General features: G+C 43.7%; 1 protein-coding gene across 5 annotated transcripts in view, besides 1 other annotated feature; it reads right to left on the minus strand.

The window, feature by feature from the left end:
• Nucleotides 1-18,324, minus strand: part of SLC13A3 (solute carrier family 13 member 3) — a 126,658-nt gene that overhangs the window by 54,477 nt on the left and 53,857 nt on the right. For 4 of the 5 annotated variants that reach the window (NM_001193340.2, NM_001011554.3, NM_001193339.2 and 1 more), the window contains one exon: nucleotides 1,156-1,421. In NM_001193340.2, coding sequence (NP_001180269.1) covers nucleotides 1,156-1,391 — 236 coding nt within the window. In that variant the 5' untranslated portion in view covers nucleotides 1,392-1,421. The remainder of the gene's footprint in view (nucleotides 1-1,155; nucleotides 1,422-18,324) is intronic. The other variant, NM_001193342.2, reaches the window with a different exon arrangement.
• Nucleotides 9,812-10,385: an enhancer, noted in NCBI's record as "OCT4-NANOG hESC enhancer chr20:45250755-45251328 (GRCh37/hg19 assembly coordinates)". NCBI's record gives its function as "activates a minimal SCP1, AML or CMV promoter by ChIP-STARR-seq in naive H9 embryonic stem cells {active_cell/tissue: H9 hESC(naive)}" and the evidence as "EXISTENCE:reporter gene assay evidence [ECO:0000049][PMID:30033119]".

The following is an 18,324-nucleotide window of genomic DNA, read 5'->3' on the forward strand; positions in this document are numbered from 1 at the left end:
GTATTTTTGGTAGAGACAGGGGTTTTACCATGTTAGCCAGGCTGGTCTTGAACTCCTGGCCTCAAGCAATCCACCTGCCTCAGCCTCCCAAAGTGCTGGGATTACAGGCTGGGATTACACTGCGCCCGGCAAGATCCCTGATATTTTTATATGACATTATAATCACTGCAGACATCTTGAAATATCATCGACACTCAAAACTGCTCAACATTATGGGTGTGATTAGGCCTATCACTCGGTCTTGCCGTTTGCGGTGTTAATAAAACAGTACCTACCTGTACCAGGGCACAGGTGTCTGTGTTCAAAAAAAAAAAAATTAGATAATTGCATTTTGCTGTAGCTGTTGTTTCAAACTCTGTTGTGCATTATGCATTTAAAAACATTATTCTGGGAAGATCCTTAAGATTCACCAAATTGCCAAAAGGGTTTATGGAACAAAAAATAAGATGAAAATAAAACCCCTATTTTAAAGGCCACCCAATTCTCTAAGAATAAAAGTCCAAATCCTAGCCAGAGTGCCCGAGGCTCTTTAGGATTGTAACCCTGCCTCCCTTTCCCTTCAAGCCCATCTTCCCACATCCTCTGCATCCCCCCACCTTCAACTCCCACCTGATCTTCATCATCTAGGCAGGTAAATAGCAAACAAGAATGCTAACAGCCAGCATTGCCTGCTCAGGTCCAGGGGATTTGCCTGCATTTGCTCATCTAATCCTCACTAAACTCTATGAGGTGGGTGCCACTACATCACTATTTCACAGGCAGACAGAGGTTAAGTTATTTTTCAGAGCAGGTCACCTGGGATTCAGCCCTGAGCAGTCAGGGTCAAACTGTCAGTGTGGCCCCCTCCAAAACTATGGGACTGGAATCCCTGGGGGTGGGGCCTGGGGGTCAGCAGCTCATGTTCCCAGGTGATTCTTCTGCACCTTTGAGAACAGCTGCCCATGATGGGCCTAGTGCTGTGTCTAGCATGCAGCAGGTGCTTGCTAAATAGTAGAGAAATAAATAAATAAATAAATAAATAAATAAATAAATAAATGGTGGGAACCGATGAGTTTCTTGGCCTGGACGAGTAAATCAAGAAGAGCAGGTATAGGCTCCAGAGGTGTGGTCCCTCTGCCTCTCCGCTGTAGGGCTGGAACCATTACCTGTTCTTACCTGGCCGGCTGGACTCCAACAAGCATCAGGATCTTGAGGGCGATTCGCCGGTGCAGGTTCCACTCCTCAATGGCGCTGGCCATGATCAGCCCACTGAGGAAGAGGAAGTTGGTGTCGAGGAAGTACTGGGGGCAGACCTTGTTGGAGGGCAAGATGCCCATGAAGGGGAAGAGGACGATGGGCAGCAGCGCCGTCACTGAGAGCGGCAGGGCCTCCGTGCACCAGTACACCGCCATGAGCAGGATGACAAACAAGCAGCGGCCTTCCTGCAGGAGGAGATGCATGCTCAGAGGGTCAGCGGGGCTCGGGGCAGAAGGGGAAGGAGGCCCAGGGCTCAGGGCAGAGGGGGAAGGAGGCCTGGGCTGGGGGCAGAGGGGGAAGGAGGCCTGCGGCAGGGCCTGCCCCGGCTTGTTCTCAGGGCAGCAGTGGAGCAGGTGTGTGCCTAAGGCGTTGACTTAAAGCAGGTGGCATCACCTTTCTAAGCCTCATTTTGCTCAATTATAAAATGAGGAAGCTATTTTGGTTCACCTCATAGGACTGTTTGAGAATGAAATGAAATACATTGTTGTCTTAGAGATAAAGACGAGAATGAAAATAGTTTACTTGATAGAGGATCCCAGGAGGTTCTGGAAGGACAATGGGGAAATGAAACAGAAGGAAGCCAATCCAGAGAGTGTCCCATGAGAAGGTTACCACTGTGGACACCTGGATCTCAATTCTGATGGGGACAGGGCAGACCATGCTTCAGTGTATGTCCCATGAGAAGGTTACCACTGTGGACACCTGAAGCTCAATTCTGATGGGGAACCCTGGGGGACAGGGCATATCATGCCTTAGAGTTGTCTCAACTGGAGGCAAGGAAGTTGGAGCATTTATCTGCCAACTCCTGGCCATCATTGGTTGAGGGCTGATACTGGGAGCATTAACTTTCAGCACTTCCGGCATCCTTATGTGCAGACTGAGCATGCTCCTGCAGCCAGGGGAAATACTCCCGCAGTCCATCTCAGAGGCAGTAGGAAGCTACTAGTGTGTGCGGAAATGGTGAGCACCAGTGGGGGTGTGGAGTTGGGACAGGGAGCAACTGCCACATCCTTACACGGTACTTAGTGCAATGCCCAACACATAATGCATACTCCATAAACAATAACAACAGCTGACATCTGTTGGGCTATTAAGTACCAGGTGCTATTTATTCCTAACAAAATCCTAGTGATGTAGGTATGATTATTACCCCCATTTGATGGATTAGGAAACTGAGGTGCAAGGAGGTGGTTAGCAAGGTAATGGCTGTGCAGACCAGGGTAGACCAAAGCAATCTACCTCCACAGCCAGACCTTCATACAAGTGCCCTGCTGCTGTTCTCAGCTAAATATTAGACCCAATGAAAGGCAGACAAAGTAATTTAAATCTAATCAGTGGTTGCCAAGGCTAGGGTGGAAGGTCTATGTTGTGGGGGCATAGGTAGGGGTTGCAGAGGAGCACAGAGGAAACTTTTGGGCTGATGGCAATGTTCTATACCTAGATTGGAGTGGTAGCTACATTGGTGTGCACATTTGTCAAAACCTGTCAAACTACACACCTGTTCTCATAATGAGAGTGATAATGACAATGACTTCACATCTGATGCATCCGTGTCCCACAGGATTCATAATACTTAATGTCCTATTATTTGCATGATCACTGTTGGAATGAAACTATTCCTGCCCTGCCCTTGCTTTCTTATGTCCTTTCAAGGCAACGATCTTGCATATTCTAGGAAACATGAACTTTTTCTTGGATTTGGTCCTGTCTGGAGCCATCTTATGGCTCTTACTTTATAGTAAGTTTTGTTAACTTTATTCCATGTCCATAGGACATCAAACAGCGCACCATCCTAAGAGCCACCCTCATAGAACATATCCTCAGCGAAACAGGACAGGTATCAGGTTACGTGGGGGATGCTATGATTAGTTAATCCATCTTACAGGGAGGCCAGGGAGGGACCACGGAGACCCATCAGACAACTGTGACAACAATCCAGGCAACAGACACCGGCCACCAGGGCCCATTGCTGGCAGTTGTAGGTAGTGAGAAGTAGTTGAATTCTCGATCAATTTCCAAGATCACGTCTGACAGCTTGGCTGATAGATCTGTTGTGATATGTGAGGCAAAGAGAGAAACCAAGGGCAATTCCAAGTTGTTGGTCTCAGGGAAGGTGGGGTTGTCATTTACTGAGATGGGGGAGACACACTGTCACCAATTTCCATACCTTGAAAAACACATCCCGAGACTCTGCTTAATACACCCTACATTGGAAAATGTCCAGATTCCCAAGTCCCTTAGCTTTTCTATCAGTGCTCACATTCATTCATGAAATTTATAGATGTGCAAAAAGTCTCCCGCTGGGAGAATTTCTGTACAGCACATCCTATTTTCCTATTGACTTAAGATACATTGTTTTAGAGAAAAAATTAAATAAGCTGCCACAGTTAATACAAAGTTATCCTTCAGGATACCTAAAATTTATTTCCTGGGGGCCAGAGAAGAACAACTGCAAAACAAATTAACTCAACTTGGAATGAATATCCCAAGAACCCAGGTTATTGGACACACACACTAAAGGTTGAAAGCAAAAAGAATAATACAGAATCAAACTCCACAACCAAAAATTCTCTAAGTTTTGATTTGTCATCATCCTTTCAGTTTCTCAAATGAGGCAGATCCTGCATCTCAGAGGTAAGATATCTTTGAGAATCACAAGACCAGAGTCCATAAATACTTATAACCCCCAGCCCTTTGTTCAAGCAAAATTGTATGTTGAATCTCAGTATATAAAACAGACAAACTTTGAATGTAAAAATCAGAAAAAAAGGCACTCTTCTGGAGAAGTGAGAAAAAGAGCTGTCGATGGGCTTCTCTGTTCTCTCCCTCCCTTCCACCTATCCTGGCAGCCCCTAAACCTCCCCGATTTGGGGATTCAATGGCAGATCATCAGATCATCACCAAGCCCCTATCATTTCCCTGGCTCTACAGATGTGGAGACTGGGACCAGAGAGGGGAAGAATGAGTCAGCAGGTGGATGTCAGAGCCGTTTCCAGAACCCCAAAGCTCCCCCAACAAGAAGCTGAGACCCTTTTGTTGGAAAAGCCTCAATGTGTGCTTGGAGCCAAAGGGCATCATCCCAGAATTCCACAGAGATAGAGGGCAGGCCCGTCCCAGGTATACAGCACAGCAAACAAGGATGTGGGGAAGCAGTGGCACAATAAACAGCACCCTGTTTAGAGAAGCTCCTGGAATCCCAACATTCTGCCTACAGAGCTTTAGTAACCACCTGGGGAGCCAGTGTACCAAAGGCTTCAGACTTGGCCAAGGCCACCTCAGCCTTCTTAGGCTGGGAACCTGAATATCAGCTGGGAACAATCGGTTTCCACAGCTCAGAGAGCCAAAGGGGCCTTCCTGAAGACATACAACTTTGGAGAGATGGAGCCACCTCTCCTCTTGAGTCTTGGCTCCTGGTACAAAAGCAGCATGAAACTCTGTCTCCAGCCCATTATCCTGCTTCATGTTCTTTTATGTAACCGGTTACCACCTGAAAGCAGATTTTATAGCTTTATATGTTTTCTCCTCTATTAGAATGCAAGCTCTAGGAGAGCAGGGATTGTGTTCCCAGTGCCAAGAACAGTTCCTGGCACATTGTAGGCACTCAAAATATCTGTTGAATGATGAAAACATGTTTCTACAACTTAGAGAAAAAGCTTGATCCAAGCTATCATTCATTCATCCATCCATTTAGCAAACTTTATTCCTGACCACATTTTATGCCCTGGGCTGGAAGCTGGTACAAGGAAAATGACTAAGACATAGCCTAAATTTTTAACAAGTAAATCTGGCCATGCCAACCAATAAACAGTTCTTAGTCAGGTGCCTATAGTCCCAGGTACTTGGGAGGCTTAGGGAAGATGATTGCTTGAGGCCAGGAGTTCAAGTCCAGCCTGGGCAACACAGTGAAACCTGGTCTCTAAAAACCAAACAAAAAAAAACTACAGTGCTTCTCAAACCCAAATCACCTTCCCAGGCTCTTTCTGCCAAATATCCCTCAAACAACAGATGTGTGTTGGTAAATGTTGAACAATTGGCTCTCTGAAAAACTTGTGTGTGTGTGTGTGTGTGCGTGTGTGTGTGTGTGTGTGTATTAAGGTCTGTATTTAATAACTGGCTATTAGAATTCCTAAAAATTTGACAAGCACATTTCCCAAGCCAGCATAAGCTGGCTGCAGCACACCACTGTGGGCCTCCAGGCAGAAGAACATCCATGTATCACCCCCTGGGCCAGGAAATCTGCATCACATTCTGCGCAAAACTGACTTTCTTCCACCCATGCTTGGTATCCTGCTCCACAATGAATTCGTGCTTTTAAAAATATACAATTACTTTCTATCAAATCTTCCTGCTGACCCAAGAAGGAATGCCCCATGTATCCTGTTCTGTGTACCACTCACCAGACCAACAGGTATCCCAATTTGTAAATATGAGTCCTCGGTGGAGATTATAGTCTCAAATTCCCACAGAAGCCCAGACATACCATAAATTAACTCTTGGACCCCTTCAGACAATCCTCATCTTTGCGTTTTGAAAATGATATGACTATAAGATGTTTCACTTTCATCTTAGGTCTATTATGAGACACCTAGACCCCTAGACTGTAGTCCACACCGCTACTTGGCATTCAAGGTTTGGTGCCCAGCCCATCCCTGGTCCTAGATTCCTAGACTGTAGTCCACCCCTCTACTAGGCATTCAAGGTTTGGTGCCTAGCCCATCCTTGGTTCATATGCTTCCACTGCTCAAGGAGACAGACATGAAGACAAATCATTCACCTCCCAGAGAGACAAGGGCTAAAACAGAGTTTAAGACAGTGAGCTATGGAGCAAAGGTGAAAGGCAGCTGTGTCAGCCAGTGGGGTCTGAGAAGGGCAGACACCTCAGCACCTCCTTGCTATGGTCTCAGTGTTTCTGTCCCCCCAGATTCATACATGGAATCCTCATCCCCATTGTAGTGGTAATAAGAGGCAGGGACTTTGGGAGGTGATTAGGTCGTGAGGGCTCTGCCCTCACTAATAGGATTAGTTTCCTCATAAAAAGGGCCTAAGAGCCTTCCTTCTGCCATGTGAGGACACAGCAATAAGGCACTGTCTTTGAAGCAAAGAGCAAGGCCCCACCAGGCACTGAATCTGCCAGTGCCTTGATCTTGAACTTCACAGCCCCCAGAACTGTAAGCAATATATTTCTATTGTTTAAATATCACCCAGTCTAAGGTATTTTGTTATAGTAGCCCAAATGGACTAAGACAGTCCTCCGTCTCTCGCTTCAGTGCCCATCATTCCTGTTCACACCAGTGACGTCTTCAGATTTCTCCGGTTTCAGAAGCACACTTGGCCAAGACTGCCAAGAAATAACACTCCAGGAGTAGCTCCTAGCCACGAACTTCAGTTGCCTTTCAGTGGGATAACTGAGGCATGTCGAATACCATTTCCCAGAAGTCCCCAGTAAGGCTGAGTCACTGCTGCTGGTAGTAACCTCTTCATTGGCACACTTGTATTTCTTCCATGCTCTTCACTGTTTCCCTTCTCCACTGCCCCCAAATTCCTTGCAGTCAAATTGTTGTCTCAGGGTCCTTCTGAAGACCCAATCTAAGACAGAAGCCTTCTCAGACAGGGTGACATCTTTCCGAGCTAGGATTTGAGAGGTGTTTGGCACAGAGAAGGAGAGGGACTGCCTTCTTGCCTATGCTGGAAGCCTCTTTTGTATTTGAGTCAAAAAAAGGCTCATGTCCTCCAGCTGGATTTGGGGTTTATCTGAGCCAAACCCAGTTGAGAGAGGTCCCAGGCATGATCTGATACAATAGAGTCCAAGCTCTGTCATTAGAGCCTGAGTCTTTAGGTCTCTCCTCTCCATCTGCACTGCCCTTGACTAAGGTCAAACTTCATCAGCTTTCACTGAGACTATTTCTCAACTTTTGCACTTGTCTTCATGAATCCTCCACATAAGCAGTCAAAGGAATACTTCTAAAATGCACTTCAGATTATGTCACTCCCCTGCTCAAACACCTCCTCTGGCTCCCCATGGCCCCCAGACTCACAGTCATGGCATTCAAAGCTTATCAGTGTGTCCCAGTACAGGCTTCCCACATTCCCCACTTTCTCTGTTATCTTGGACACAGTTCTCTCAGCAGTCTACGCTGCTTGTCATTCTCTGGGCCTTTGCACATGCTTTTCCTTTTGCCAGGAACATTCTTCTGCTTCTTCATCTAGTGAATTATGACTCATCTTGTAAAGGCCATTTTTATCCTGTGACCCCCACCCTAAAGTCCTGGTCAGTTCCAATATCTATGCTCTCACAGCACTCGGTTCACAGAAGAGCAGAACAGCACAGCGGTTAAGAACATGGGCTTGTTGCAAGACTTCCTGGATTTGAACTATAGCTTGATTACACCATGACTTTCGTGACCTTGGATAGGTGACTTAATGTCCCTGTGATTCAAGTTTCTGTCATTTGCAACTCAGACTCCTGACTAAAACACTCACCTTCTCCATCCTCCTAACAATAAATAATACCTGACATTTTAATAGAACTTAATGTGTGTGCTTTCATCCTTGCTATTGCAAAATTCAGAATATCTCTGTCACACAGTGATGGAAAAAATAAGAACATTTATTGAATGTTACTATGTGCCTGGGACTGTTCTAAGTATGTTATGTCTATTTGTTCATTAAACAACCTTATGAAAGGAAGGTTAGTATTATTTTCATTTACATTTAGCAAATGAGAAAATTGAGGCACAGAGAGGTTAAGACAAGGGATCTTCAAAAAGTTCATGAAAAGTATGTATTATTTAAAAACTATGCATGGGTTTCAAATTTTTGCACCAAAATAAACTCATACTAACTTATTATCACATGTCTGAACAGAATCTAGTTTGAGGCACTAAAAAGGATAGTTCGAAAACAGCCCCTATCAGAGCAACATGAATTCTGCTAAAACTGAAGCAAAAACAAATATCAAATTGATGATGAAGTTTGGATGGAAGAATAATGAAATAATTGACACTTTATGAACAGTTTATGGGGACAATGCTACAAAGAAATTCTAGTTTACAAATGGATAATTTGTTTTAGAAGGGATGAGACTATGTTGAAGATGAGGCCTGCAGTGGCAGAGCATCCACATGGATCTGCAAGGAAAAAAAAATTCATCTTGTTCATGCCCTAATTGAAAAGGACCAACAATTAACAGCAGAAACAATAGCCAACACCACAGACATCTCAACTGGTTCAGCATACACAATTCTGACTGGAAAATTAAAGCTGGGCAAACTTTCCACTTGATGGGTACCAAGACCACTGCACCGAGATCAGCTGTAGACAAGAGCAGAACTGTCAATGGAAATTTTAAACAAATGGGATCAAGATCCTGAAGCATTTCTTCTAAGAATTGTAACAGGAGATGAAACATGGCTTTGCCAGTACAATCCTGAAGACAAAGCACAATCAAGGCAATGGCCATCAAGAGTTGGAAGTGGTCCGGTCAAAGCAAAAGTGAACTGGTCAATAGCAAAGGTCATGGCAACATTTTTGGGGGGATGCTCAAGGCATTTTCCTAATTGACTTTCTGGAGGGCCAAAGAACAATAACATCTGCTCATTATGAGAGTTTTATGAGGGTTAGCCAAAGCTTTAGCAGAAAAATGCTAGGGAAAGCTTCCCCAGAGAGTCCTTCACCACAGCAATGCTCCTGCTCCTTCCTCTCATCAAACAAGGACAGTTTTGTGAGAGTTTTAATGGGGAATCATTAGGCATCTGTCTTATGGTCCTGATATGGTTTCTTCTGACTTCTTTTTGTTCCTAATCTTTAAAAATCTTTAAAGAGCACCCATTTTTCTTCAGTTAATAATGTAAAACAAAGATGGCATTGACATGATTAAGTTCCGCAGACTCTTAGTTTCTTAAGGATGGATTAAATAGCTGGTATCATCATTACAAAAGTGTCTATAACTTGATGGAGCTTATGTTGAGAAACAAAGTTTGTATTTTTATTTTTGTCTTTTAATTCCATTTTTTCATGAACTTTTTGAAGTCCTCTCATCTTATAGATGGTTCTGGAATAAAAAAAAGTTGTGGCTCCAAATCCAGAAAAATACACTGAGTACATTCTGCACGGACAGAATAACTGGCAGCTGAGTCAGCTGCTAGGGGCAACCCAGGAGGTCTTAAGCAATCTCTGTGTGGAACTTCCCGGCACATCACATCCAATGTCACATGATATCTTCCCAAGAAATGGTTCTAAAATCAAATAAGTTTTTCAGGAACTGTTCTCCCTACCGCTCCGCTAAAAATTCATAATTGGTACACTGAAAGTGCTAACAAATCATGTAGTACATATATTTATTTGACCTTATCTAACCCAAAGTTTCCAAAATACGTTTGACCACGGATTGAAATATTTCTTAAAATCCTCCACAACTTATGCTCCATGGAAAATAGGGTGGTAAATGGTGCCAAATTGTAACCTGCAAAGGTTCATCCATTCAAAATGATTTACTGACTCTGTCTCCTCGACTACTAAGAAAGTTCCCTGAGAAGACGGACCCCATTGCTTTTATCTTGTTCACGTCTGTGTCCCCAGAACTTGGCACAGTCCCCAACACATTGATGGAGTTGGTTTCAGGGAGTGTGGAATGAGTGAAAGAATAAATAGATTGTGACCCTGACTCTTTGCTGGCCACCATGCTGGAAGTTCAGGAGGTAGAGATGAGTAAGTGAACATCTGCCCTTGAGGATCTCAGAGTCTAGGGATCAAGCAGGTGGATGCCGGCTCAAATAACTACAATGGGATCAACATGTGGTTCTCAGTAAGCTAGGGACACCTAGGGGAAAGTAATTAACTTAACTCAGAGGACAAAGAAAGATAGCAGGGAACAGTTTTCTTAGGAAGAGCTATTTAAACTAAATCTCAGACAATAAAAGCTTTTGCAGATTCCTAAGGTCAGAGCCTCCCCTTTGTCCAGCAGGCACTTGAGCATTTATTTGCCTATTGTACTTTAAAATATGAGGGCAGATTTCTGGAGCAGTAGGGGATTCTTGCAAATTTGCTCCTCTAACTCAACAGGAATTGGTGTGTGGTGTGTGCGTGTGTGTGTGTGTGTGTGTGTGTGTGTGTGTGTGTGTGTGTGTGTGTCTGATACTCATGAATAGCAACAAAGTTACAAATTTAAGAAGGCAATATAGCTTCCCTGCTAGGGACACTCTAAGGTCAGAACTTAATAGATGACAAGAATTTTAAAAAGACATGACTCAGATCTTACAATATCAAAGGGATACAAAGGGATAGTTTGAACAACTTTTTACCAATAACTTTGATGATTTCAAGTAACCAGAGGAACTTCCTGATAAAAACATACCTTTCTCAACTATCAGAAAAAGAAATTAAAAAGTTGAATATTTCAGTGTCTATTGAAGAAACTGAATCAATCATTAAAAACCTCCCCACGAAAAAGCTCCAAGCCCTTCTGGCTTCAATGGTAATTCTACCAAACATTGAAGGAATAAATAATACCATCTTGCACAAACTCTTTCAGAGAGCAGAGAAAAAGGGAACACTTCCCAATTCATTTTATGAGGACAGGATAACCCTGTTACCTGGGTGATCCTGACAAGGGCATTAAAAGAAAAGAAAATGGAATACAATGGTTGAGAACAGTGACATGCAGTCACCTGGAAAATTTCAATTCTCAGGAGCTCTGGTGAGAGTTTCCTTTTCTATGCAGCTTCACATCTCTATGCAGAAGAATAACTACAGTATAATGACAATCACAATCACCAACATTTTTTGAGTATTCTCTAAGTTTCAGGCGTCTTCTATGTATTAACTCATGTAATGCCCCTAACAATCTTTTCTTTTCCTTTCCTCTCTATCTTTTTTTGAACCAAGGTCTAACTATGTTGCCCAGGCTGGTCTTGAATTCCTGGGCTCAAGTGAACCTCCCATCTCAGCCTCCCAAGTAGCTGGGATGACAGGCATACACTGACACACCTGGATTCAGGAAGGTACTATTACTTTCCCCCTCTGTTTTGGGGGAAATTATAAAAAGATGTCTATTTAGGTCATGCATACAATGCTGTGTCCCAGGTAATTCAGTCCCAGGGTAGTGTTGCAGCTTACAAACTGTGTAGTCTAAACAGGAATTCTAATTTTTAAACTCTTCTCTTTTAAACATTTAAGGGACTCAAAGTATAACGATCGCTAGCAATTAATTAGCAAGCAATTAATTTCCAAGTAATTGCATTTGTGAACTCATTTTATTTTCAAAACAATCCTTTGAGGCAGATATTATTAGCTCTATTTTACTGATGGGACATGGAGGCAAACAGGAAAAGTCAAGTAACTTGCCCATAGCTGCTGAGGCAGTCAGGATTTGAACCCAGGTGGTCTGACCAGAGTTTTCTCTTTATCACTATGTATTTCTGCACAATCCGTGGGTGTTCTTGTCAAATGCCTACATCCTCTCTATTCTCTAGCATGCCTGAAAATCTCTCTCGTTCCTAGGCCAAGAGAACCTCTCTCAAGCTTCCTGGCTCCTTGCCATCTCTGCCCCTCCATGACTCCCCATCTCTGCCTCACTGTCTCCCACAAGGCATGCTAATAATAACCATCCTGTTCCTTGCCAATTCCTCATTCACAGGAACCCCATCCTTCTAGTTCTGGCTCCTTTCTCCAGAAAATAACCTATCTGGAGGCTCTAGTTCTTCCTCTCTTCATGCAATAGCAACAACAATCACTATCACCATAATAATACTAATAACAGTCAATACCTATTGAGAATTTGCTATGTGGCAGACACTGCCCAAACAACTGTACCTGTGTATTATCTCAGTTTAATTGTGATTGTCACAACAGCCCTATGCAGGAGGTTCCATGATTATCTCCATTTAGCAGATAATGCAACTGAAGCACAGAGTGAATAAGTAGCCTGACCAGGGTCACAGAGATGAAAGTAGTGGACAGCCTGCTGGGTAGACACAAGGCAAGCTGCTCATAGCATTATGCTATTACACAAGGGGGAGATGGAGAGAGCTAGACAAGCTATTCCCAAATATCCAATCAGTATTAGGATGGATAGCAGCAAAATTGTTTAGCATAAGTATATCCCATGCACTATTTGGGATATACTTATAGTTTAAAAATGACTCCTTGTTCATCTGAAATTCAAAGTGAACTTAGCACCCTGTGTTTTATCCCTCAACCCTAGCTGGACCAACATTCCAAAGATGTGAGGAGGGAAAGCCCAAGTATTTCTAAAGACCAGATGTGGTTCTGAAGTGAGAATTTCAGCCCAGGTCCTCTTTAAAATCCTGCCTAAGAGGTCTGCTTCTAAGTGATATAGGACCCCTAAGGGAGTTCCCATATATAGGAAACCAGGAACTAGAGGGGGAGCAGCCAGGGGAAAAAAAACCCAAGGGAAGGGCTGTGAAGTGTTCTGAGAAGGGGGAGATCCTCTAGTCTCCCGACTCTGTAATGCTCACAAGAGAAGGGTCTGCTGTAAAGGGAAGCTGAGGGGCAGGAGTCATGCACCTGCTAGGCTCCTTGTCTTTTCCTGCCCCCTGGCTTCTTTCACTGTGGCTGTCACAAACCTTGCTTAAGAAAATAAGGAAGAAGAGATGAAACCGTAAAGGGGAACTCAGGAGACAATAATCTCTCTTTCCTCTTTCTCTCCCAGCTTCCAGCCTGTAGAGCCCTCAGGAAGGGGAGGGGAAAGGATTTCACTTCAAATCAAGTTCCACATTCTGATGATCACCTGGAACTGACCATTCTAATTTCTGAATTGAGACCATGTTTGTGTATTAAAGTAATTGGAGGATTTTAATTACATCTCAAGAGTGATAGGAAAAGGCATGTGTCTGCAGGGGTTTTTGTCCAAGTAATAGGAAAAGAACTTCCCCACTGAAAATATTTTAGAGCACTAGCTGGAGAGAAAAATAAACATGACTTTTAAAAAATAGCTCATTGAGCTATAATTTACATAAAATAAAAGTTCTGACAAATGGTCATATTCATATAGCCACCATCCCAACCAAGATATAGGACATTTACATCTCCCCAGAAAGTTCCTACATGCCCCTTTCAGGTCAATTCCCACATCCTCTCCAAAACAGTGCTGCAATTTCTATCACTATAGATTGGTTTTTGCCTGTTCTGGGATATAATGGAATCATACAGGATGTACTTCTGTCTCTGGCTGTCTTTTAATTTTAATTTTACCAACAAGAATGAGCTTGAAGTGTGTCTGGCTGTTTTGCTCAGCGTGATGTCTGTGAGATTCCTCCACGCAGTTGTGTGTATCAGTAGCCTATTCTTTTTTGCTGCTGAGTAGTATTCCATTCTGTGAATAGATGAGAATTTATTTGTACATTTTCCTGCTGGTGGACATTTGTATTATTTCCAGTTTGGGGCTACTATGGAAAAAGTTGTTGTGAACACTAGAATACATCTGCTTTGGAGGTGACATCCTGTGAGTCCTTTTGTGCGATGTATTCATTCTGTACATGATATAAATGGTAGGAAAGTTGTTTAAATTCTGGCTGCAAAGGTTGCTGTCAAAGCTGTATTCTCTCTCTCTCTCTCTCTCTCTCTGTCTCTCTCTCTCTCTGTCTCTCTGTCTCTCTCTCCCCCCTTCTTTTTCTCTCCTCTCCCTCCCTCCTTCTTCCCACTCCCTCTGTCTGTCCTCTCTCTCCCTCCCCCTCCTTTTCTCTTTCCTTCCTCTCTCTCCTCCCTTTCTCTCTCTCCCTCCTCCTCCCTTTCTCTCTCTCCTCCTCCCTCTCTCTTCTTCCTCTCTCACTCCCCCTCCCTTTCTCTCCCTCCCTCTTTCTCCTGTCTCTCTGGATGCTCCTGTCAGGATGTCAACTCAGCTTTCTGTGAAGGAATGACTCCAGATACAGCACATGTCAGCTGGAGAGGTGACCCAAGGGAAATGGCAGGAGTTGGGAAGTCAATCCTTGGCCCACTTGGGGTTTTGGCAGCAAGTAGGTCAAGAGTGTGTTTTATTACCTTGCTGGAGAGGGACTGGAGCAGAGCCAGAGTGACCCCCAAATGCCTGCCCTGCCTCAGCTGAGCTTCCTGTGGGCAAATGGATTCAGATTTGCCAGCTGTATGCCAGACATCTGGTGGAGAATTAGTAAGAAGTGCTGCTGCCCCTCATCCCCTGACCTTCCCACTCTGCCAGGACTTAAGAACAAAACTAACTTCCAGAGAGCAAAAATCTCCCAGGGGACTTGGAGGCAGGGACTAGAGCACTGAGGCCTGTAAAATGCTAAGTGGTGGGCTCTCAGAACAAGCAGGCCAGGCCTTTTCCCCCGTCCAGGTCTTTGCACCTGCTGTTCCCTCTGCCTGGCCCTCTTGACCCCACGCACCCCCTTCTATCTCTGGCTGGCTGGCTCCTTGCTGTTCAGCCCTCACTTCAAAGGTCTCCCCTCCAGGAAGTCCATCTCTGATCACACTGTTCATTGTGGTCTGCTGCACATTATCTGGCTTCATTCTTGTGGAGCCACTTATCACTAGCTGAAGTTTATTTTTTGTTCATTCACTTATTATCTCTCTCTCGCCTCCCTGCAGACCAGGAGCACCATGCAAACAGGGCCTTTTCTGTCTTTGTTCGCCTCTATTCTCAGTGCCTCAACAGGTATTTGTTAAAAGAATGAATAAATGATATAAAGTCATTTCAGGCATTTCAAACTCATATGCAGGGGACAATTTAATGAGTAATATGGGCTGGTGTAAGAAAAGTCACGTTTTCTCAAGTCTGATTTGCACTTCCAATAGTGCTGTGGATATAGAAAACTATTATTTTAGCAGGGGATAAAAGTTCCCAAGCTTAACAGTAACTTACAGCTGGCACTGGACTTCAGTGTCATGAGTGCAATAGGGAGGGGCGGGGACTGTGGTGAAGTGGGGAACACAGGGGCCTCCCCTACCACGAGGACAACCACTGCTGCTCAGCTCCTCTGATTGTTGTGATGCAGGAATGTGGGTCCCGTGATGCCAGCTCTCCTGATTTCAAGAGAAGCTTGAAATTTTGCTTCTATGTGAAATCTCAGTTTTAAAAGATTTGCTCATTAAAAGGAAACTGTGGGCCAATCAAAAAAAAAACTACATCTGCAGGTGGTATTCAACCTATAGTCACCAATTTATGACCTCTCATCTAAGTGATTTGAATTGGTAGAAGGATGGACCCCTGCGGTAATTAATGAAAAACCGACATATTGTATATGTGCCCACACATACGCAATACTGAATGTAATGTCAAGATGTTGACAGATTAGTAGGGATCACCGGACTCTGTACTGAAAACCCCTGCTCCATTTTAAAATCCCCATTTTACAGATATAAACTGAGGTCTGGAGAGGAGGTGTAGTGTCTTCAGGACCATGCAGAGCCTAAGAGTAGATCTCATCACTCCCAGCCCTGGTCCGTTTGAAATAGTGGAATCATAGAGGGGAGTCCAGGTGGATCCATGATTTTACTCCACCCAACAGCAGCTCTGGTCAACCTCTGCCTCTGGGCCTCCTGTTTCATGAACTCACACCAGCCACGTGGCCACACTGAGGTTCATTCTGTGTGTTTGCAAAATAGAGGCTTCCCTCGGATCTTCAAGGGCAGATTCAGGTAGGAAGGAGTGTGGGGCCACATGATCCCGAGGCACTGCTCCTTTCAATTTTAACTTCTGGAGTTCAGAGGTTGGGAGAGGTGTCTGATTTTGCAGACTTATTTTCTGGGTCAAGCCAGGGTGAGCAGTTTGCTTTCTTGCCACTTGTTTCTGTCCAGAGGCTCCATTTTGGGAGGGAGAATCTTGCTGAGCGGGCCCAGGGAAGAAGGAGTAGCAGCTTCGGGTAAAACATTGCTTAGCTCCCAGCCTACTCCCTCTGCCGTCAGAAGCCAGTGGGACTCAGCTAAAATCTCTAGGGTTGAAGGAACTGACGGCAAGGCCTAACGGAGTCTGCATCTGGAGAAGACAGGTGCCACAGGGAAGGAGGCTAGTCCTAATGATCAAGGCTGACCCTAGAGGCCAGATTCTGGGTGAACTTGATATGGATGAGGTTGGGAGGATGGCTGAAATGGAAAGTGGTCAGCTGCCTTTGAAGGGGAAAGAATACCAAGCAACTCTCTAGTGCTGGCCTGTCTAAACAGTGGAGCCCTGGGTCACATGTGGAATTTAAGTTCAAGTTCATTAACATCAAACAAAATTTAAAATTCCAGTTTCTTAGTAACACTAGCCACATTTCAGGTGCTCAACAGCCACATGGGACTAGGGTCCACCATTCTGAACAGAGCAGATATGGAACATCTCCATCATCACAGAAAGTTTTATAGGACAGACTGTTCTAGAGAACTCAGGCCCAAGGGCCAGGAAGCCTGGGGATAGGTGGTTTTGCTGCTGAATTTTTGCAGAAAATCACTGAACACACTGAGCCTAAATTAGTTCATCTTCTAATTGGGAATAATAATATTGGGATGTCTACATCACAGAGGATTCCATTAGGACAAATGTCTGTGAAAGCATTTTGAAGTGTGTGATTGACATTTCTATCTTAGGGATGATATTATGAATAAATTTGGATTTCTTTCTTATATGCTCTATTTTCCAAACTTCAACAACAAATATGCACATATTTTAAAAAAGAAGGCATCCTCTGAATACACAAGTGATATATCTGTAAAATTATTGGGTTACATGTTCTTTCTCTGAGAATTAGCAGATATTTAATTATTGCAGAAATTTGAGTCCAGCCTGATTTCTCCCACCCCTTATAGCTCACTTGAATTTTTTGCCTGGATATCCATAAGGTTTTTTAATTAAGCTTCAAGTCCATTAATGTTACCACAATTTGTCTTGGTGTTGATGAGTGTCCATAAGCTGTTTCTGGAAGACAGTAAGCTCTTTCAACCTGCATATGTTTTAGTTTTGGAGAAATGTTCTTCTATTAAAGATTCCAATATTGTTTTCCATTTTATTTTTTTCTTCAGGAACACCAATTATGCTGATGTTGGATTTCCTTTGTCTTCCATACTAATTGTTTTTCATCCATCCTTTCTTACTTTTCCACTTCATTTTGTTCAATCTTTTTTAGCCTGTATATCATGTCTCTGATTATGTTTTTAATATTTCCCCATTTTGCTCTGTCTGATACAGCCTTTATAACAGAATAGCTTTATTTTTCTCTTCCACTTACTTCCTGAGTGCTGTTTTTTCACCCCCTTCTGCTTCTTAATCTCTCTTCTTTGCCCTTTTTGTTTCTTATTTTGAGATTTGTTGTAGGCAGGCAATTTTTAAAATACATTTCACCGAAAAATATCTGTCCGATAGTTTCTCCCACTTCATAACACAAATCTTCTAGTATTTATTCTGTTTTTCTCCTTTCTATTTTATGTTTCTTCCCTTTTTATTTCTCATGCTCTCTTTTTGGCAGATCTCATGTTGGCTACTTATTACAGAATTGCGGTCATTCTTTTAAGACCGGTTCTTTGTTGGAGGAAAGTGTGGGGAAAGGGGCTGGCCCACAGGTATCTAAGCATTGGCTCTGTTGACTATCTCAGAATGCTTTCTCATCAACATGGACCCAGAACATGCCTCTCCTCTAAGCAAGGGGGAGCCCCTTACTCAATGCGAAGACCCAAGACGGTCACAGTTCTTTGGTGTCTCTTTAGCATTTATGTTTGTTTGACTGACAGAGAGAGAAAACTAGAACCTTTACAGCCATACAGGTGATCACTATCCACAATCTCTCTCCCATGTGCCATTCCAACATCCCGCTTCATGACAAGCGTCTTGGAGCCTCCTCAATCAGTTCATCTGAATGCTGTACTGTCACATACATCTCAGGAACTCTCCCTTCTCTGACATGCATGCTCCAGGCTTTGCCAGTATTAGGAAGTGTCAGAGTTCAAAAACACTTCAGAACTCCTCGTCCTGCCCACGATGTGCAGAAGCATGCGCCACTCTTGATTTCCTTCTGCAGTTTGGTCAAAGTTTCCTGCCATTGTCAGCTCTTCTTCATATGCTGGCGAGGTGGGATTGTGGTCTTTCCTTCTTTCATCAAAGATGGCATATTCTTCTCCTTTTGTTGCTTTTGTGGTTGTTTTCAG

Source organism: Homo sapiens, chromosome 20, assembly GCF_000001405.40.
Source record: "Homo sapiens chromosome 20, GRCh38.p14 Primary Assembly".
In the NCBI taxonomy this organism is placed as follows: domain Eukaryota; kingdom Metazoa; phylum Chordata; class Mammalia; order Primates; family Hominidae; genus Homo; species Homo sapiens.